General features: G+C 49.3%; 1 protein-coding gene across 1 annotated transcript, besides 3 other annotated features; it reads left to right on the top strand.

Moving 5' to 3' along the window:
• PCARE (photoreceptor cilium actin regulator) lies at positions 264-13,092 on the top strand. Its single transcript, NM_001029883.3, has 2 exons — positions 264-4,193; positions 9,720-13,092. Exons 1-2 carry the CDS (start codon positions 526-528, stop codon positions 9,916-9,918), a joined length of 3,867 nt encoding a protein of 1,288 aa, NP_001025054.1. The 5' UTR covers positions 264-525; the 3' UTR covers positions 9,919-13,092.
• Positions 7,174-7,674: an enhancer, noted in NCBI's record as "H3K27ac hESC enhancer chr2:29289979-29290479 (GRCh37/hg19 assembly coordinates)". NCBI's record gives its function as "activates a minimal SCP1, AML or CMV promoter by ChIP-STARR-seq in naive H9 embryonic stem cells {active_cell/tissue: H9 hESC(naive)}" and the evidence as "EXISTENCE:reporter gene assay evidence [ECO:0000049][PMID:30033119]".
• Positions 8,976-9,658: an enhancer, noted in NCBI's record as "H3K4me1 hESC enhancer chr2:29287995-29288677 (GRCh37/hg19 assembly coordinates)". NCBI's record gives its function as "activates a minimal SCP1, AML or CMV promoter by ChIP-STARR-seq in naive H9 embryonic stem cells {active_cell/tissue: H9 hESC(naive)}" and the evidence as "EXISTENCE:reporter gene assay evidence [ECO:0000049][PMID:30033119]".
• Positions 11,002-11,916: an enhancer, noted in NCBI's record as "H3K4me1 hESC enhancer chr2:29285737-29286651 (GRCh37/hg19 assembly coordinates)". NCBI's record gives its function as "activates a minimal SCP1, AML or CMV promoter by ChIP-STARR-seq in naive H9 embryonic stem cells {active_cell/tissue: H9 hESC(naive)}" and the evidence as "EXISTENCE:reporter gene assay evidence [ECO:0000049][PMID:30033119]".

The following is a 21,112-nucleotide window of genomic DNA, read 5'->3' as shown; positions in this document are numbered from 1 at the left end:
CTCTTCCAGAGCCTTTGCAATTATGGCTCATTTCTCTAGGTTTCATATGGCAGGCGTCTGAACAGAATTAAAAGCATGAGCACGTGCAAAAATAATCCGCTTCCCAAGATAGTAAATGCTGAGAAGTTCTATATTAGAACACACTGTGAGTGCTGACTGGCTAGGGCATGATTAACCTAATAGGCTTAAGCTGCACTTGCTATCCACATCTGTCAGGACGCGAGCAAAACACAGGCCCGTAATCCACCAGGCTGGGAGCCTTCAGAATTGTCCCGCTGCTCACTAACAGCAGAGGGTTCCAAACTTAGAACAACAACAGGACGACAGGTACCACTCCCTCTTCACATTTGGACCAAGAAAATAAAGAAAGCTGGTTCCAAGTTTAGGATATTGTACCATGGACTTCAAAGAATTCTGGCCTGAAAATTGCCTGGATGGACTAGTAAGATTGCCTTTTGTTCCTATTTCAAATATGATTCTTGGAAAATTGTGAAGGTGGGTGGAAGATGACTACAAGCTGAAATCATGGGGTGTACACCTTCACACAGTGACCTTGTAAACAGCGTTGCAAAGAGTGGCATTCAGTTCTTGAAAAAGCCCAAAGCAATTCGGCCAGGATGTCAGGGCGGAAGTGAAAGAGGTTCCATCCCTTTGCTGGTTAAAAACTCCACCTGCTATGACGCTGGGGAGGGCCTGGCAGAGGAGCAGCCAAGTCCCAGGAGGAACCAAACCACAGCTAAAGGTCTTTGTCAGCTCATGGGAGATCCTGCTTCAGGCAAAAGGAAAGATATGGAAGGACTGATCCCAGGAACCAAAACCTCTTCATCCCAGCTGAACAAATCACAAAGCCACATGGCTAAGGATATTCCGTTCAAGACACAGGGTTCCCATGGATCACAAGGGGCAGACTTTTCTGGAGATGAGAGTGAGGAAAGTAGTACCCAAGATACTTCCAAATGGAAAAGGACAGCAAAATGTCACACGTCAAGCACACAGAGCCACTGCTACCAAACCATCCACCCTGCTCATGAGCCTGAAGGCAAAGTGGACTTCCCGGAGCCTCTGGTAAAGGCCCACCAGCAGGCTTACACCTATCTACACTCCAGCCTCTCCAAATATGAAGCAATTCTGTGCATCATCCATCAGGCCACCCAGACCCGGGAGCTGCTGCAGCCCATGGTCAGCTTCTTGCTGCTGTGCTTTGAGGAGATCAGCCAGCTGTTGGGGGAGATCTCCAAGGATGGAGAAGTGCTCCTGCAGGAAGTCAGGGAGGATCTGGCTTGGCCTTTGAAGAAAAGAGAGCCCCAGGAGCAGCCAAATCTCCTGCAACAGCTGCTACAGTACACAGTCAGCAAGCTGCAGGTGCTCAATGGCACAGTGGCCTCGCTCACCGGCAGCTTCCTGGAGGGCTCCAGCAGCTACCTCCACTCCACTGCAACCCACTTGGAAAATAAGCTGAGCACAAAAAGGAATGTGGATGAACGCCTCCTGAGGGCTCTGAGGCAGCTAGAGAGCCTGGCGAGTGGCTGTGGCGACCCTGGGGTGCAGGGTCTCCCCTTATGCTCTGAGGACAGTGGCATTGGTGCTGACAATGAGTCCGTGCAGTCGGTGGACAAGCTGGGCAAGCAAACCAGCTGGGACCTTGCACCAGAGCCCGAAGAATGGAAGTCGGTGACTTCACCCCACACAGAGGCCAGGCAGTCAGGACACACCTGGCAGCAAAGTCCATTCTGTTTGGGCTCAGGCAGACCCCAGGACTGCCTGCTCTCAGGGGCTCCTATGGCAAAGGTTCAGCCACGAGCACAGGACGAAGCAAGGAGCCCATGCCTCTCCAGTACAAGCCCAGAAAATATCACCTCCCCACCTTTGAAGCTGGGGACAAGCACCCCATGTGATTCCTTTGGGATTGGGGTCTCTGTGGAACCACACCTTTCCAAAACCTCCAGGCCGATGGACGCTTCATCTCTTAGTGACAGCGAGGACAGCAGCCCAGAGGAGGAGGAGGAAGACAAAATGAGCAGCATGAGTCTGTGTGCCTGGCAGGAAAAAACTCCACATTCAAGGCCACAATCTTCACCTGCTGACCGGGAAAGCCCATTTCAGGCCCGCACCAGGAGGCTTAGGAGCCTCCAGGCCCAGGAAATGATTCTGAAGATGAAGGAGTCAATCAGCGAAAGGATCAAGTTTGTCCCTGTGCCCTGTGGGCACCAGGACTGGTCTGAGGAGGAGGAGGGGAGGACAGTGGTCCCCCCAAGACCTAGCACGGTAAGTGGCAGCAGGAGGGCCCCTGAGAGGCAGACGAGGTCCCAGTCAGAGTCGTGTCTCCAGAGTCACGTGGAGGACCCCACCTTTCAGGAGCTGCGAAGGGTCCAGAGGGACCTCAGTCAGAAGCTGGAGGCATTTTATGCCCTGGGTGCCAAAGGGCAGGGGCAGAGCCAGGAGCAAATTCTGCAGCCCAGAGCAGCCGCCGTGTGGCCCAATGGCACCTGCAGGGTCAGTCCAAGCAACACCACCAGCAGGCTCAAGGCATCCCTCACCAAGAACTTCAGTATTTTGCCTAGTCAGGACAAGAGCATCTTGCAGAAATGCAATCCCCATCCTGAGGACGAACAAGGCAAAGCTGGGAAGCTTCCAAATGCCATCCCATCAGGAGAGGTCAGTGAGGCTGCCAAGGCCACAGACTGGAATGTCAGAGGCTGTCCCACCAGAACATCCGTCAAGAAGCTTATTGAAACTTTCAGTCCCACGGAGAGTCTGAGGATGCTGGGGGACTCTAAGGACGCTGGGGCAAGTCCCTGCCTCAGGAATTGCATCATGCCCCCCAGATTTCCCAAGTACACAGGGCTTGCCCCTTTGTATCCGAAGCCCCAAATTTCTCCAGCATCAGGCAGAGAATCTCTCAAAATGGGCATAGGCTGGAAGCCCTTAGCACCTATCTTTCCCCCTCTGCCTAAAGCAGAAGCAGCCAAGAGTGAGGAGCTCAGCTGTGAAATGGAGGGGAACCTCGAGCACCTCCCTCCACCGCCTATGGAAGTTCTGATGGACAAATCATTCGCTTCTCTGGAGTCCCCAGAAAGCAGCAAGTCCACAGAGAACTCCCCCAAGGAAACCCAGGAGCCAGGGCCGGGAGAGGCTGGCCCCACCAGGAGAACATGGGCTTCCCCAAAGCTGAGGGCCTCTGTGAGCCCCCTGGACTTGCTGCCCAGCAAGAGCACCGCCAGCCTGACCAAGCCTCACAGCACAGGGCCAGGGAGTGGCAGGAGCAGCTGCCAGCCCAGGAAGCCAGCCCTGGACCTGAGCAGCCCACCAGCCACCAGCCAAAGCCCCGAGGTGAAGGGTGGGACTTGGAGTCAGGCAGAGAAGGCCACCAGCCTCTACAGGCAGCCCCGGAAGGCCATCGCCTGGCACCACTCCGGCCCTCCATCTGGACAAAACAGGACCTCAGAGTCCAGCCTGGCCAGACCAAGGCAGAGCCGAGAGAGAAGCCCCCCTGTGGGCAGAAAGGCCTCTCCCACGAGGACACACTGGGTGCCTCAAGCAGACAAGAGGCGCCGGAGCCTTCCCTCCTCTTACAGACCTGCCCAGCCAAGCCCCTCTGCTGTGCAGACGCCCCCCAGCCCACCTGTGAGCCCCAGGGTGCTAAGCCCACCCACCACAAAGCGGCGAACTTCCCCACCGCACCAGCCCAAGTTGCCCAACCCTCCCCCCGAGAGTGCACCTGCTCAGTGCAAGGTCCCCAGCCCCCCAACCCAGCACCCAGAAGCAAGCCCCCCTTTCTCGATTCCCTCCCCATCACCCCCAATGTCCCCTTCTCAGGAGCACAAGGAAACAAGAGACTCTGAAGACAGCCAAGCAGTCATAGCCAAAGTGTCTGGGAACACACATTCCATATTCTGCCCAGCTACCTCCTCTCTGTTTGAAGCTAAACCGCCACTCTCAACAGCCCACCCACTGACCCCACCATCGCTGCCGCCAGAGGCTGGGGGCCCTCTCGGGAACCCAGCAGAATGCTGGAAGAACAGCTCAGGGCCTTGGCTGAGAGCAGACTCGCAGCGGAGAGCAGCTCTGTGTGCCCTCAACCCTCTGCCTTTCCTCAGGAGGACAGCTTCTGACCGCCAGCCAGGTGGCCGACCGCAGCCTCCCACCTTGGACCCCACCAGCACCTCTTATGAATCCCAGCTCGGCCAGAACAGGTAAGGAGTGTCCTGGGGTCACTGCCCTTCAGCGGCTTGGACTAGAGAGGAACAGAGCGAATGGGCCAAAAGATCTTCTGGGTCTCAGTAGTTTTCAAACTGTGCTCCAAGAGAAGAGGCAGTTGGGAAAAAGGTGTAGGGGGCAGTTCCAGCTCCCCCACTCTCCAACCTTGAGTTACTGTGCTCTTATCTGTTACACATTCCAGCTGCCTAGGAAATATTTTAATTGAAAAGAGGCCCTGCTGTATTAAAAAAAATCAAGTTCAAATGAGAACACATGGACACAGGAAGGGCACACACCGGGGCCTGTTGGAGGGTAGGGAACAAGGGGAGGGAGAGCCTTAGGACAAATACCTAATGCATGCGGGGCTTAAAACCTGGATGATGGGTTGATAGGTGCAGGAAACCACCATGAAACAAATATATCTATGTAACAAACCTGCACGTTCTGCACATGTATCCCAGAACTTAAAAATATATATATATATCTCAAAAAAATAAAATAGTAAAGTTCAAAACACTCAAGTTAGTTCAACCCCACACACCCCATGTTTTACAGCTGGGGAAACTGAGATGAAAAGGCTTGCCCCTGTGGCTGGCTCACTGGTGCCGTGTCTCAAACCAGCAGCCTGGCTCCCCATGTTTCTGGTTCCCCGCAGGAGACCAGCATCTAGTTGGGAGGTTCTCAAGCTATTTGGTCCCAGGATGGCTTTAAACCCTTTAAAGTTATTAAGAGCCCAAAAGAGCCTTTGCGTGTGGAGGCTATATCTATCAATGTTTACTGTATTGGAAGTTAAAACTGAGAAATATGTAAAATATTTATTATTTTTTTAAAAAATACGTTAACACAAATAATATACTCTTATAAAAAGTGTGTATTTTCTTGTGTCCACTTTTTTTAAAGCTTTTATTTTAGGTTCATGGGTACATGTGCAGGTTTGTGATGTAGGTAAACTTGTGTCACAAGGGGTTTATTGTACAGATAGTTTCATCACCCAGGTACTAATAATACACAATAGTTATTTTTTCTGCTCTCTCCCTCCTCCCACCTTCCACCCTCAAGGAGGCCCCAGTGTCTACTGTTCCCCTCTTTGTGCCCATGAGTTCTCATCATTTAGCTCCCACTTATAAGTAAGAACATGCAGTATTTGGTTAGTTTGCTAAGGATAATTAATGGCCTCTAGCTCCATCCATGTGCCTGCAAAAGACATGATCTTGTTCTTTATTATGGCTGCATAGCACTCCATGGTATATATATGCATTACATTTTCTTTATCCAATCTGTCATTGATGGGCATTTGGGTTGACTCCATATCTTTGCTATTGTGAATAGTGCTGCAATGAACATTTGCATGCATGTGTCTTTATGAAAAGAGTATCTTCTACAACAACAAAAAATTTAGGGAGAAGAGTAGCACTGTCTTACATTTTTTCAAACCTTTTTAGCATCTGGCTTAATATAAGATGACCGGATTCTCAGCTCTGCTTCCATTGTCAACCTGTTGGGATCTCACACCTCATGTAGACGCGGGGCTCTCCACCCTGCATTCACAAAAGAATGAGTGAGAAAGAGAAGTGACATCTTAGTATTATGATGAAAATAGTTTTGACATCGTGGGCCCCCTATAAGTGTCTCAGGAATAACCAGGGGCCCCCAGACTACACTTTGAGAATGGCTAGTCCTGGAGGCATAGAATATAAATGTGTGGCTTCCCATATCCCCAAGGACCTAGCTCCACTTCTCCTCTAACTTCAAAAGTTTGTAGAGTGAGAACAAGAGTCTTCATGAGTGCTGAGCACCAGAATCCAGGGGTGGGGCTGCTACCTCTCCCCCGGGCAGGCTGAGTTCCAAGTGTGCCTTTCTCATCAGGGCAATGGACGTGCATGTCATTGGTCCAGCCGTGCAGACAGGCCCAGGCATGCAGCCGCAATGGGGCGTGAGTCAAAGTGTAGCCATTACTGGACACTGAAAGAAGAACTCGTATGCTCAAGTGGTTATTTTACAGAATACACGGGGAAATGTGCCTTTTCCCAACCTGGCATAGAAACAAAAAAAAAATGTCTGAGGTCTATTAGAGAAGAACTCTTATTAATGTGTCTATCAAGATCAGACAAAGCTCAACTAACATCGGTCCTTGCTATCTTTGCATAGCCCACGATTGTGTAAATCAGCAGTTAATTTCTGCCAGAGTGATACGTTTTGCAGACTTCACAATCTGTCCAGGCACAAATGGTAATTTTTTACAAAGTACTCGGCAGTCAATGTAAAATAAAGATATTATCTTGGGAAAGTTGTGCATTATTACAGTTAGATAAACTTCCCCAGCCACTTGAAAGAAATGAAATATTGATTATTTTTGCAAGAATCTTAATGTAACATTGCTCTTTTCTTAAATCTAAAATGAGCTTCCTACAGTACAGTGGTTTTCATCTGAGAATCTCTATAAATGTTAATGCATTATTCCTCACTCCCGCCACTTATTCAGTTATTAGATTTCTAGAACTGTGCCCTTCAGCAGAAGAGCTTGAGAGAACAGGGACAATAAAATGGCATTAATTAAAAACACTAACATTTTAAAACAGCAGGAGCAATAATAAAGTAACATAAAATTGTTCAAGAAGAAAATGATGCCCTTCTCTCAGCCTTCTCCTCAGAATAGGGCAGCCTAAAAGGTTGTTTTGTGTCCTGAATCTCAATACTTGGGGCAGGGGCGGCAGGGAGGTAACAGTGGCTTGAAAGAGAGAGGACGGTCAGGTGCAGTGGCTCACGCCAGTAATCCCAGCACTTTGGGAGGCTGAGGTGGGTGAATCACCTGAGGTCAGGAGTTTCAGACCAGCCTGGCCACCATGGTAAAACCCCGTCTCTACTAAAAATACAAAAATTAGCAGGGTATGGTGGCACGCACCTGTAGTCCCAGCTACTCGGGAGGCTGAGGCACAAGAATTGCTTGAACCTGGGAAGTGGCAGTTACAGTGAGCCAAGATCGTGCCATTGCACTCCAGCTTGAGTGACAGAGTGAGACCTCATCTAGAGAAAAATGTAAAAAAAGAGAGAGAGGGGAGGGTTCATAAACAGGACGCTTCCCAAGGTCACGTGGAAGGTTGTATAATGACTCGCAACCATTCCCCCGCCTCTTATGACACCACACAGCTGTAAGCCTTCCCACACTGTGAGCATGTGATGGGAAAGTGCTCATTCCCCAGCACCCCTGCCCCCAGGTATAAAGTTGGCATCTGGGAGCAGAAGTGCACCTGCTGTAAGCATATCAAGCCTTTGCCACCCTGTGAATGGCAAGCATTTTTTTCTGCCATCCTGCATATGGGGAAACACCACCAGGGACTAGGCATGATTTCCCCAAGATCATGCAACAAGCCAGTGCCAGGAAGCCAGAGGCTGCTCAGAACGGGCTGTTTCCCCAAGCACGGACATGCAGGGACACAACCACACCCATGATGTCTTGCAGCTGAGGCAGGCCTGCAAGCTGAACCAGCCTGCCCTTCCAGTCACTCCGTGCAGGCAGAAGCCCCCTTTTTAGAAAAATGGATGATGTTTATATCTCCTGATCTTGGGGACCTGGGGATTGGGAACAGCCCTTGGAGGCTTACCCAGGAAGCTCAATTACTGAGCTTCAACTGTTATTTCTGTGCCAAATCCCCCAGCAGAGCTACCAGCCTCTAGGTCTCAGGATGTTGGGGCACTGTGTGCATTTGAGAAGGCTCCAGACTTTCTCCCCTCAATGTGGTGTTTTCAGTCTTCACCTGGCCTGGACTGCCCAGGCATGCACGCTCTGCCGCCCTTACTCAGTCTCCTGGATCAGATACCCAGTGGGCCCTGGGCCCTGAACTCCTGTAGGGACCTGTGATGGGGCCGGAGGCCAACACAGATGAGATTGGCTCCATGGCACAGTGAGTTGGGTTCCTTCCTGTCTGACAACCATAGCTGTGTGCTGGTCTTAGCGCCCACCCCACTTACCCACGACTCCTACCACCCACCTCGATCTTGTTCAGATCCAAATGCAAACATATTCTCCACTGGTTTGGCATCCCATGTAAGCCTGACCTCACAGAGCTGAGCACATTGTGCAATAAAGCTCACAGATCAGGCAAGAATGTGCTGTCGCGAGCAGAGAGAAGGGCCTTCTTGCCTGTGCATGTGGGGAACTAGGGTCCTGTCCTGGCCCTGAGGCAACTGATTGAGAGCTCTGACCAAGGCCTCATAGTCCCTGTAGTAGGATAGTGTGGTCCCTAGAGTCCTTTCCTAGTGTGACTTCCTGTTCATTCAACAATGCAGCTCCATAGTGTCACTACCCACCTATGGGGCACTTATGCTATTAATACAATAGTATGCCAAGGGTCTTCCATGCTTCACCCAGTATTGATACCTATGAGTGCCTGATGAGCTGGGTACTATTATTACTTCCTTTTTTAATTTTTATTTTTATTTTAAGACAGAGTTTCACTCTTGTTGCCCAGACTGGAGTGCTATGGCGCAATCTCGGCTCACTGCAACCTCTGCCTCCCGGGTTCAAGCGATTCTCCTGTCTCAGCCTCCTGAGTAGCTGGGATTACAGGTGTCCACCACTATGCCCGGCTAATTTTTGCTATTTTTAGTAGAGATGGGGTTTCACCATGTTAGCCAAGCTGGTCTCAAACTCCTGACCCCAGGTGATCCGCCCTCCTAGGACTCTCAAAGTGCTGGGATTACAGGTGTGAGCCAGCACGCCCGGCCTATTACTTCCATTTTATAAGGAAGGAAGCAAAGATTCAGAGGGGTGAACTAATAAGCCAGAGAGTCAGGACTTGAAACCAGGCAGTCAGCCTCTAATTCCCACTCTGGGAAGCCTCAGGCTGTCCTGCCAGCAGACGGCCAGTGTGGTTTCCTGGGCAGGTCCCCTGCTAGCCAAAGCTTGCTCCATGCTCAGGGCCACCCTCCATTCTGCACTCCCAAGGCACTCCCAAATCCCACTCAGGCTCCTGTGGGGGTCCTCTCCCCATGCAAAGCCCCTCTTAGCTGTGTCACTTGGCAGCTGAGAATCTCTGTTCCAGCCAAATGCGGGGCCTGCGCTGGGCCAAGCTGTTTGCATTTTTCTCTATTCGGGAAAAGGGTGGCAGCTGAGCGAAGCCGGTTTTTTCCTTGTTGTTGTTGTTGTCTTTAATTCAACTGGCTAAGCCTAACCCTTATTAAACAAGAAGTGCTTTAAAAACAAAAACAAAATAAAGGCCCAGCTCCCAGAGCTTCTGAGGGAGTTGCTTTGTTCAGAGCAGCAGGATCCAGGGCTTCAGGGGAAAGAACAGGACTCAGCCAGTCACCCCAGCTCCCACAGCGCCCACCCCTGCAGGCACACGGCAATGGCGGCACCAGCCTGGCAAGCCTGGTACAGAGGGCAGAGGCCTGGCACCCAGGGTGAACAGGCTTGTGGGAGAGGGCTGGGGAGGGACAGAAAGGGAGAATGGAGGACAGGGGTGGGGCAGGAAGGAGCAGCAGAGGAGGAGTGTCTGACCTGCACTTGTCCTTTCTCTCGGCAGCAGCAGCGAGGAGAGCCCTAAGAAGGACACAGAGCCGGGGAGCAGCCCCTGTTCCCCTGAACTGCAGGGCGGCACCAGGCGTGCATCTCCCCCAGAGTTCTGTGTGCTGGGCCACGGGCTGCAACCGGAGCCTCGGACCGGCCACATCCAGGACAAATCCCAGCCAGAGGCGCAGCCCCAGCAAGAGGAGGTGTCCTGACAGGCTGACGAGGGGGCCACACTCACGCAGTCACCCCAGAAGGCCAAGTGTGACAGCCAAGTGTCCAGCCTGACCCAGAGATGATGGGCAAACCAAACTCCTACTGAGGTGTCCTGGAAAGGCCTGGAAGGTGCACTGCCCAGTGGGTCTGCTGAATTTTAAACAATCGCCGTTTTCAGTCCCAGATCTTGCTCTGCCTTGGGGTTCAAAGGTTAACCAGAACTTTTAGACCCCACAATGACAGTATTTAATGCTTCAAGTGCTGGCCTTAATTTGGGGTGGGGTGGGGGGTGGAGAATGTATAGTTGCATGCTTGATAGGGTTTTAACTGGGTTCATTCCTTGAGATCACTTAAGCCTCACAACAGTGAATGAAGCACATAGCATTCTTCAGTTTTGCGCATATGAAAACCGAAGGTGTGGGGAGAGGCCCCCTCAAGTGTCTGGCTGAAGGTCATACAGCTAAGAAGAGAATAGAGCAAAATTTTGCACAGATGAGTCTGGTGTTAGAATCTCTCTGCTCTTTTTATTACATTCCATTGCCCGTAACTATTGCGTCACTCCACCTGCCTAAAGCAGACATGGGTGCGCAAATGGTCGCAAAGCTTCTTTGTTGTAAGGTTAAGTAGCGGCACAGCATTGACAAAGTCCCTATTGAGAGCTTTGTTTAGAAGTGCATGGCTCCCAAAATGAGAAGGCTGAGTGAGCCAGGATTAAAACACACAGCCCCACCCGTCCTCTGTCCTCTCCTCCTTCCCAAGCTCAGTTTCAATGCTGTAAACTTAAAGCTGACAGCTCACAATACCAGCCACGCTGCCTCTCGGCCTAAGCATGTAGCAAATGCTCTCACTGCCCTACGCATTACATGCTTCTCGACGGAGTAGGGTAAACCAAGCCTCCCAAACAAGGCAGCCCATTCTCCACATGCCGTGGGTGCTGGAGCTCAGAAGATAGCGTGGGTGAGGCATACGTACTCACACGCCGATCTCCCCTCGGAGGCTTCTTGGCCAACTTTATTCCCAGGTCATCTTGCAGAACTTCTGCTGGAGTCGAAATCAAAGTGAAAAACAGTTGTTCATGCCAAAAACCTGCTTCTGCCAATGAGCTAGATATTTGCTGCAGATCTTGGAATGCTTCCACTGGAGGCTGTGGTGTGCGTTCTATTTAGAAAAGATTTTGCAGTAATTGAGTGATTCAATGCCGGCTCAATGGGTTGGCAAAAGACAAGAATTCTTACCCACTGGGGTACAGCAAAGGGACGATCCTCCAGATCTGCTGCAAAGCTGATTTTTAAAGTTTGGGGTAATTATAGACCTCAAACCCATTCTTGCTGGGACTGTGGGCTCAAAAACTTGTTAAACTGGGTCCCTAGGGACTATAGCAACCTCCCCCAGAGAGAGGCTATGACTCTGAGTAAATGAATCCCACCTTGACTTGTCCAATTATTATTCAAAGGCACCCAAAGAACAGCTGATTAAACTACCAAGAGGGGCCACAACCCACCCCTCTGCTGGAAAGGGACACACCCAGCTGTCTGCTCGCATTTGCTCCTGTTGCCGCCCTCATCTCAGAGAAGTGCTCAGGCAGTGCCCAGGCCAGCCGATTCTAGAGCCAAGCCACACCCACTGCTGGGTGGACACTTAGGAGCTGCCTGGACTGCAGGCAACGCAGGGAAGTCCAGCCACCCAGGCAGGGCAGGGGCCAAGGTAAGCACGTGAGGATGGACCAGGTTCAGCAAACTTGCCCGACAGAGATCTGGGCATTCTCCCTAAATGGTTGGGCAGACCAACCATTGGGTCACCATGGGGTGAGCCTTAGGTAAGCTGGGCACTGAGCTGAGTGAGCAGGAGACACACAGTGTGAGCGGCCTTTGAGGTCTAGCTCACAAGTAAGTGGCTTCAGGTGGGACTGCTCAGAAAGTGGGCCCTGCCTGGGCTCAGATTTAGGGGCAGGATTCCTGGAGGTCCGAGGAAACGAAGCTGTTCCCCAGCTGCAGGGAGACTGGAGTGGGACACAGTGGGTGAAACTGGGGTACCATGAGGGGTGGAACCCCAGGAATTATACACATTTTCATTACTGGAACCGGGATATGAAGTGGAGCCACTCCAGCAGTGAGGGGAAGCAAGGCTGAGTCTCCAGCCCAGGCCTCCTTCCGTAAAGGGCCTCATCTTAAAAGTCCAGGGCTGGGTAGAAAGTGGAAAGGGTGGCCGAGTGCCCCCTGCTGTGGCCATGCAAGCTAGCGGCAGCAGGGAGCCAGGCAGATTATTCCACCACAGAAGGGGTCAGTATCATGGAGAACACGCAGGAAGGGTCCGGAATGAACAACGGTGCTTTCCGTGAGCATGCATGGCAGGAGGCTGTCTGAGACTAGAGGTTGTCCCTCGCCAGGCTAGGCTGGCAAGCAGCAGGAAGTGCCCACCCACCATATTGCAGGCAGCAGACGAAGGGGTACAGGGCACCCGGGATCCTGCCATCAGCTGTGGAGATGCCCATGATGCCTCCTTGTCCCTCTGGAGGACCTCCACGTTTGCTTGGGGCCAACGTGTGCCAGGACAGGGCGAGGCTCCTGCCATAGGTCCCCACACACGATGTCATAAAAGCCCCCAGCTGCCACCAGACCCAGGCAGCCGGGACAGTGAGCTGGTGACACCATTGTGTTGCCCAGTAACCTTAGGCTACTGGAATTCCAAGTCAGCTTCCCCCACTCCAGGGAAGATGGGGAGGGGTTGCCAAGGTGCTGGGGGCTGGGGGTCAATTAGGTCAAAGGTGAAGCAGTGCTGAGCCGACATAGGAGCAGGCGGGTCAAAGATGTGTTTTTGGCTACCATACCAACTACCAGACTTAGCTCAAATTACATGTGAATTAGACTTTGTACAAAAGGAATTAAATCCACAATGGAACAGTTTTGTGGCATCTGGTCAGTTTTGCCTCCTAGAGACCAGGTCTTCCACAAACTTGAGTCTGCCTTGGAGCACGCATTGCTGGTGGCAGGAGGGGCAAACCCAGCTGTACAGCTTCTCAGACAAGGGCTGCTCACGCCCACCATCTCCCTTCTACCCAAGAATGGTATCCTTGCTGGGCCAAATCCACTTCCTTTGCCCAAGGGGGAAGGGAGGACAGTTTTTCTTTGTTCTGCTTTTTGTTTTAATAAAAATTATTAAGCCAATGAACCCAACTCATTGAAGACCCATGAGTCTATACTTTTTCTTCATAGAGTTAGAAACCAAGGACTGTCCGGGATGCAGAGAAGGAGGAACCCACCACAGATCAATCTAAGGGGTACATGTCATACCCATCTTCTCACTCGGGCCAGCTCCACTCTGGAGGAGCACAGCTTTCATCTTCCCGACCATGGAGACCCCAGAGCTGTGGAGAGGGAGGTACTGAGCCCAGCCCTTTACCCAACACTTTAGTGACACTGTAAACAGTTCCACCCCAGGGAAAAAAACAGAATTTTCTGCTCCCATCAAAAGGATTCATGGAGAAAAAAAAAAAAAGTAAACATCATATTCTGGCAGAACAGTGATAGCTTTTTGCAAGTATAAATACAATCTTCAAAATGAAATATAACCTCCCTCCGTGGCTGGGGTCTGAGCTGCTGTTTACTTTAAGCCGTATCTATTCTCCTTCCTCACATCGTATGCCCAGTTCAGAGCCTAAAATAATCCATGTTGTAGGAAACGCAGGGCAGACAGACCAAAGAGACTTTTCTTTCATTGTGAAGGGCCTAGGATTGACAAGACTTGCCTCATAAACCTTACAATGTGAATGAAAGGGATTTTGAGAAATATATTCTTTTTCTGAAATAAACCAGTGTTTTGCATGTATCAGGGGAGCCGCTGCAGTGAATTATAAGTGCTGACGTGTTTGTCAATTGATCGTCTGGCTGACGGCTTACAGGCTGCTAAAGCACCCACTCTATCTTTCAAAGGAAATCTTTTCAAAGGTAATATATTTTTAAGTAGCCCTACATCAAAGATTCAGTTGAACTGCCATAAAGTACATGTGTTCTGAGCCTGTATTAACAGAACATGTTATACTGCACCATCGTCTACTCCCCCTGCCTACCTGAAGTTTAACTAAAGCTCCATCAATCCATCCAGACGTTTTTATGAAATGTAATTAAAAATGCATCACACAAGAAGAGGAGCAAACAGTTAATTCACTCAGCACTCTAATTCAATTTTAGGAAGGACCCTGGACACTGCAGGCTTGATCGCACTCCTGGACTTCACAAAGTAACTTTGTGAATGGTCGGTGGGCCCTGCATCAGGTGGCTCTAGGATTCCACTGATCTAGTCACCCGCTTCTGAACGCTGTCACTGCAGACAGCCTTGAAGTCTAGCACACGAGGCAGCAATCGGTTTTGGCTGGAGTGATAGCACTGGCGGGGCTCAGTTAATGCCCATAGATAAAGCTGACTGGCCTAAATTGGAGGAAGAAGAAAAAGAGGAGGAAGAGAGCAGGAGGGGAAAGAAACAAGGGGTATGGTAAATGGGCCACGCATTCTCAGGAGCCAGAGGGTATCACGCTCCTGAGAGTTGGAATTAGAACACCAGAGCCTGAGTCATGACACCTCCATCCCCTGGCTCTGTGACCTGGCATCTCTGAGCCCGTGTCTTCATCTGCAAAGCAGTGATAATAATGTCAGCCTATTTATCCTGCCATCTGCACAACAGGGGCAAACCTGTCTTTTCTAAGGCATCTTTTTGAGCCACCTCGGGGAACGGAACTCATAATCCTGGCCATTTTGGTCTTTAGTGTTCATCTCTGCTGCCTCCGCACTTTAAGATCCCGATTGAGAAAAGAAGCCAATATCATTTCCCCCTCATTCCTGGGCTGCGCTTTGATCTTTGGAGAAACTTAAAAACAGCTGTCAAACTCAGCAAGAATTGACTTCCTTCTTTGAAGGTTTTCATGTCTTTCAAAGTGAAGAGAAAAGACTTTACAATATTTGCTTGCAATTGCAAGTACATATGTCAAATATACCACATGGAAAAAAACAAATTAAGCCTCTGAATCTCTCATCTTTCCCATGTTGAGTCATGAGGCTTGTCAGTCAGTCAGATAGATGACTGGCAATTACTCTGAACACTGCTAAACAGCAGGCTTTGCACACAGTGTGGGATGAGGCTCCAGTTAATAATTCTACCTTTCTTTGTATGTAACACTCTACTTTTTCAAAATGCAATCATGTACATTGTTTCATTAAATCTTTAGAGGAAAAAAGACGCTATGAGATGGACAAAGCAAGTGTTTTTTCAATACCTTTTACACATGAAAAAAAGATCTCACTCCAAAGATACATTGCCAGTGAGGGCAGAGCAGGCCTCTTACCCTGGCCAGCCTTCCTCCTGATACCTGCTGAAAGCAAGATCTAGATTATTCCATAGAGGCAGTACTGGAAGGAGACAGCATACCTTTCTATGGAAGAAATTCTCCATTTTCTCCAACATTTACAAATAGGAAATTATTTTTCTTTTTAAAGATACAGGGTCTCACTCAATGTCGCCCAGGCTGGAGTGAAGTGACACAATCATAGCTCACTGTAGCTCAGTGCAGCCTCGAACTCCTAAGCTCAAGTGATCCTCCCACCTCAGTCTCCTGATTAACTGGCACTGCAGGCATGCACCACCATTCCCAGCTACGATTTTTTATTTTTTTGTAGAGATGGGGTCTTGCTCTGTTGCCCAGACTGGTCTCAAACTCCTAGACTCAAGCAATCCTCCCACCTCAGCCTCCCAAAGTGCTGGGTTTACGGGTGTGAGCTGCCACACCTAGCCCAGGACATTACTTTTCATATCTAATCAAAGTTCAGCTGAAATTCTAGCCATTCCTCAAACTAGCTTGGATGAAAACTCAAAACAATGTTTCCAAGAGTTTTTAAAATAATTCCCTCTATGAACCTCAACCACTCCCATCATTTTCCACACACACACACACACACACACACACACACACACACACACACACACAACTGCTGCTAGCATTAAGAGAAAAAGAAAAGTCTTTTCCAAAAATCTTTGCTTCTCATTGCCATGAACCCTGAAGTGGGCTTCCAGATGAAAATTGGCAGGAGCAGACGTGGCCTCCTTCTTGAGACAGCTCTTTATTGCCAGTGCCCCACAGCGGCAAAAACCAGTGGATGAGACAGAAAATAATATAGACCCTGGGAAACAAATTGCCTTCATGAAAATTATTTATCTAGCAATTTTTTTTCCTCCTTTGGAAGGGGACAGTATTGGCTATGTTTACAAAACCTGGTGACATTTTAGAGCGATTATTTAGTTAACGGCTTCTGACTTCAGCTGCAGAAGTGCCGCATCACTTTAAGGATGTAAAAATTCTCAAGGAGAACCCAAGGTGATGTTAATAACAGCTGTCAACTCACAGCGAGGTAATTATAAAGATGTGATTAAAATAAAGCAAAGCCTTCAAATGTTACAGCCAGCTTCACTGAAACACCAGGGGACGGAATATGGCGAAACCAGCACGCCCCCTGAATAAACCCCAGTAATCATAAGGACCAAACCTGAGCCCCCAAGAGGTCCCTGACTCAGAAACACCCACCAGGGAGCATCTGTGCACACAGTGATGCTGCCGTGCTGTCTGGAACCCGGCTGGGAGCAGGCAGTTAGGACGCTGCTTCCCAGGCTTCCTGATCCTCAGAATCAGCTGCTTGATAATTTGCAGATTCCCAGGCCTTCCCCCCAGTAACAGATCTACAGCTGAGACTAAGAGTCTGAGTTTTTAAAAAGCACTTGTTCCCGTCTCTCTCTCCCCGTTCTCCTCCCGCAAGCAATTCTTTTCATCAACCACATTTGGTAAAGACTGATTTAGGGATGCTGACTCCCAGGTGTGGGCTAGCCTGGGAACCTAATAACCACTGAAAGCTTTGAGATTGTGACAGAGGTTCTCAACTTTGAGTGATCAAGGCTCTGATTCGGTAGGTCTGCAGTACAACCCAGGGATCTGTACTTTAACAAGCACCGTGGGTGATACTGTAACAAGCAAGCCACAGTCCACACTTCGTGCCTACAGCGTCCCCAGGCCAACAGCTTCCAATCAGGGCATACCTGAAGTCTCCCCTTTTTCCACTATGAAGCTGCAGCATTACCTCTGCTTGCATATGAGTCTCTGCCAAAACTCAGGTCGTCATGGCAGGCTCCCTTGCTATAGCAAGCTCTGAATAGGCTACACTTTGCTCATGTAGCCTTCATTTGTGTCCACAAATCCCGTCCCCACCAGAGGCCAAGTGTTCACAGCATGTCCTAATGATCAGAGCTGACCAAGCAGACCCTCTCTGCCCTGAAGCTTTTGGGAGCAAAACTCTGGGACCAGACTAACTCCAGAAATCCATGGGGTTTCCGTGGCTTATTTCAAAGGGCTCAAACTGACCCAAGGGGAGGTAAATGTCTTGGAGCCATAAAACATCCTGGAACAGAAAGTCAGGGGCTTTGGAGTCAAACAGGCCTGGACACACACCCAAGTTTCAGCCACTTTCTTGCTGTCTTAGGACCTGACGCCTCAAAGTGTGGTCCCTGCCAGACTCACAGGATTGACCTCACCTGGGAATTGAACACTACAGACTCTCAGGCCCCACCCAGACCTGCTGAAGCAGAATCTGAACTTTACCAAGATTCCCAGGTGATTCCTGTGCACTGGCTGCGGTTATTCATTAAGCATCGCTGAGGCCCAGTTTCCTCATCAGGAAATGGAAGAAATAATATCTTCCTTATAAGATGTCAAGAAGAATGGCAGACCTGGAACACTGCAGAATTTAATGAGGAGGTTGGCTCTTCCTCTCGGCTTCCCTTTCTGGGCCCCCATCTTCCTCCCTCCATCACAAGGAGAGCAGGAGACTTATGGTCATTTCCCCCTTTCTTTTCCTAATGGCAGAACCAAGTTATAATAAGAGGAAAATGCTTTAGGCAAGAAAGCACTCTGCTCCCCTGCAAATCATCCCCTCTCCAGTCTCAAGAGTCAGAAGAGTGGAGGGGAAGGAACAGCCACAAGGAGAGAAGAGCTTCTGGGTTTTCTTCTCTGGGGGGAGGGATGGTTCTGAGGGCGTCTGGAGAAAGGGTAAGACAGCTGGAGAAATGGCAGGCCCCAAGCAGAACAGCTCCCTGTTTTCGTGGCCTTATGCTAAATGCTTTATGAGAATGTTCTCAGTCATCGTCACCACAGCCAGGTGTAGGTGGGCATTGATGTCATCCACACACTAGATTGATATGGAAAGATCAGAGAGGTTGATAGATGGGTCCCAAGCCACACGCCAGCAGGCCACAGGCCTGACTCCAGAGCCTGGACTCAGTTTCTACCGTCAACCCCAGAATACTCTAGGGCTGTGAGGTAAGGGGAGCTGGCAGGCCAGGAGCCCACAGGGCCTAAGCCATGGCCAGTTTCCTTTTTTATCTGATATTTTATTGTGGTTTTTGAATTCACCCAGCCATTAGAATCACCTGGAGTTAAAAGAAAAAAAAATACAGCTGCCTAGGCTTCACCTCAGACCAAGTGAATCAAAATCCCTGTGGGGTGGGGGTAGACCTCAGTATTTTTTAAGTCTTGCCAGATGATTCCGAAGCACAGTGAGAGGGTAGAAACGTTTATTATCTCAGCAGGTAGGAGATAATAAAGGGAGGAGAAAACAAGATGAGAGATTTTGTTCCTGGACCAAACTGAGGGTTGGGCTGCTATTTCTCGTGGCCCAGTAACAAGATGCAGATGAACTGGGGAGGAAGAGAGTTTTTTATTTCCATAACCGGTTACAGGGAGAAGGCCTGGAAAATATCGCCAGACCAACTCAAATTACAAAGTTTTCCAGAGCTTGCATATCTTCTAAGCTACATGTCTATGTGTAAGTGTGCACTCATCTAAAGACATAAGCGATTAATTTCTTTTAATCTGTAGCTAACATCTAAGTCCTGAAGACCTTCCTCTGGAGCCTCAATAGATTTACTTAATCTAAATGGGTCCAGGTGCTGGGGTGATTACCCTTATCTTGTCTCCTGCTAAATCCTGAAGGTTTGGGGAGTTCCTTCAGACCTCCAATAAACTTGTTTTTGGAGGCCTGGGGAGTTTCTTCAGACACCCAGTAAAGCTTGTTTAATCCTAAACAGGTCCCACTAAGAATTCCTTCATTATCTCATCATGCTTCAAGGCCCAGCAAAGGCCTAGGCAAACTCTTGGTGGGCTTTTGTTACATTCCAGCCTTTGTATAAGGCCACCAGCTCTCTCAGCTTTTAATGTTTAACTTAACCACTCAGTCAGTATTGAAACAGTTGTTATGGATGCCTGCATTAGTGATACCTGGCCTGCCACAATGGGACCTATAGGAAAAGTTTCCTAAAATCTCAAAAAAATTCTCCTTGATGTAAAAGGGAATCCTGGCAGTTACAGCTCTCAGACAAGTCTTCTGTCTATGAGTCTCACTCTGAACTGAGTACACTCATTTTTCTAAGAAAACGAGTTTTTAAAATTATTTCTCTTCTCTTTTCCCCATTTCCCCTTGTTCCCCACTTCCTACTTAGCCCTTTAGAAATGCAACTATACGGCACTACTCACAATAGCAAAGACTTGGAACCAACCCAAATGTCCAACAATGATAGACTGGATTAAGAAAATGTGGCACATATACACCATGGAATATTATGCAGCCATACAAAATGATGAGTTCATGTCCTTTGTAGGGACATGGATGAAGCGGGAAACCATCATTCTCAGCAAACTATCGCAAGGACAAAAAACCAAACACCGCATGTTCTCACTCATAGGTGGGAATTGAGCAATGAGAACACTTGGACGCAGGAAGGGGAACATCACACACCGGGGCCTGTTGTGGGGTGGGGGAGGGGGGAGGGATAGCATTAGGAGATATACCTAATGTAAATGACGAGTTAAGGGTGCAGCACACCAACATGGCACATGTATACATATGTAACAAACCTGCACGTTGTGCACATGTACCCTAGAACTTAAAGTATAATAAATAAATAAACAAATAAACATATATATAAAAGAAATGCAACTATAACCTTTTACCTCCCCTTTACCAGACACTCCCTCCAGGGCAGGCTCATCTAACTGTGTGCTTAGAAGCTCTAGAGCAGAACTTGCACCCACCAGGAAACTGCCTGGAGACACAACAGTCAATTAATAACCCAAAATATGCCCACTATGAAACTCCCTCCCACCCGGAGAGCTTCAGCCACTTTACAACCTAGTTCTGCCCACGAAGATGCCAACTTGACCACCCGTTACATAAGTCATCAAAGCAAGTATGTGGACTCCCCCACCTGCCCGCTTCCTCTCCTGCATGCCATTCGTGCCAGCACCCCCCCCCCCGCCCCTTTAAAAGTGCCCACTTTCTGCTCCAAAAACGACACAGTACCCTTCAAGGCAGCTTCTTCCCCTAAACTAGCTTTGGAATAAAAAGTCAGTTTCTTTATACCAGGCCTCCCTTTTGTTCACTGGAGTCTGCAAGCAGTGAGTGACTGCACCTGCATTTTTGTTACATGGAGAGAGAGATTGAGAGAAAGAGAATCTTCCATCATTAGAGGCTGTATTCCCACCCCCAAGAGCATCTCATGTAAGTGGAGTTCCTGGCCACACACAGAACCAAGCAAAGTATGTGTGGGCTTAGCTCCAGCCCCAGCTCTTAGGAAAATCTTCATGTCCCATGACAGGCCGTCCCATTAGATTCCCACAGGTATTCCCAACAGGCCCAGGGCCAGGTTACCAACATGCTGTCTTCCCTTCATTTTAAAAGTAATGAGGTAAGGAAGTCTTTGGAGATGGAAATTTCTCAAGGTACACCAGAGCCACCCAGTGCCTCCCAGCAGCGTCACACCACAGGTGTGGTTAATAAAACCTGAAATAATGAGGGAAAAGAGAACAGTGCAAAGATGTATTCTGCACTTTTCCACTGTTTTCAGCTGTTTTCAATGCCTCCGCCCCTGAGAGTGGGTGGAGGCCCATGGGATGGGAAGCTTCCTGTGTGAGAACACACATGGAAGGCAGGAAGACAGGACAGTACTGCTAAGCTTCATTTCTGCCGTCAAAATCCTTGCCAGACTCTACGTCCCTGGCCTCCTAGGGATCTAAAAAACCCTGAAATGTTCTGATACATTCTAGGATAAAAGCAGAAAATGCAAGTCTCCTCACCAAACCAAAAACATTTGCTCAGATGACAGGCA

Source organism: Homo sapiens, chromosome 2, assembly GCF_000001405.40.
Source record: "Homo sapiens chromosome 2, GRCh38.p14 Primary Assembly".
In the NCBI taxonomy this organism is placed as follows: Eukaryota; Metazoa; Chordata; class Mammalia; order Primates; family Hominidae; genus Homo; species Homo sapiens.
This window is presented reverse-complemented; position numbering and strand designations above follow the sequence as displayed.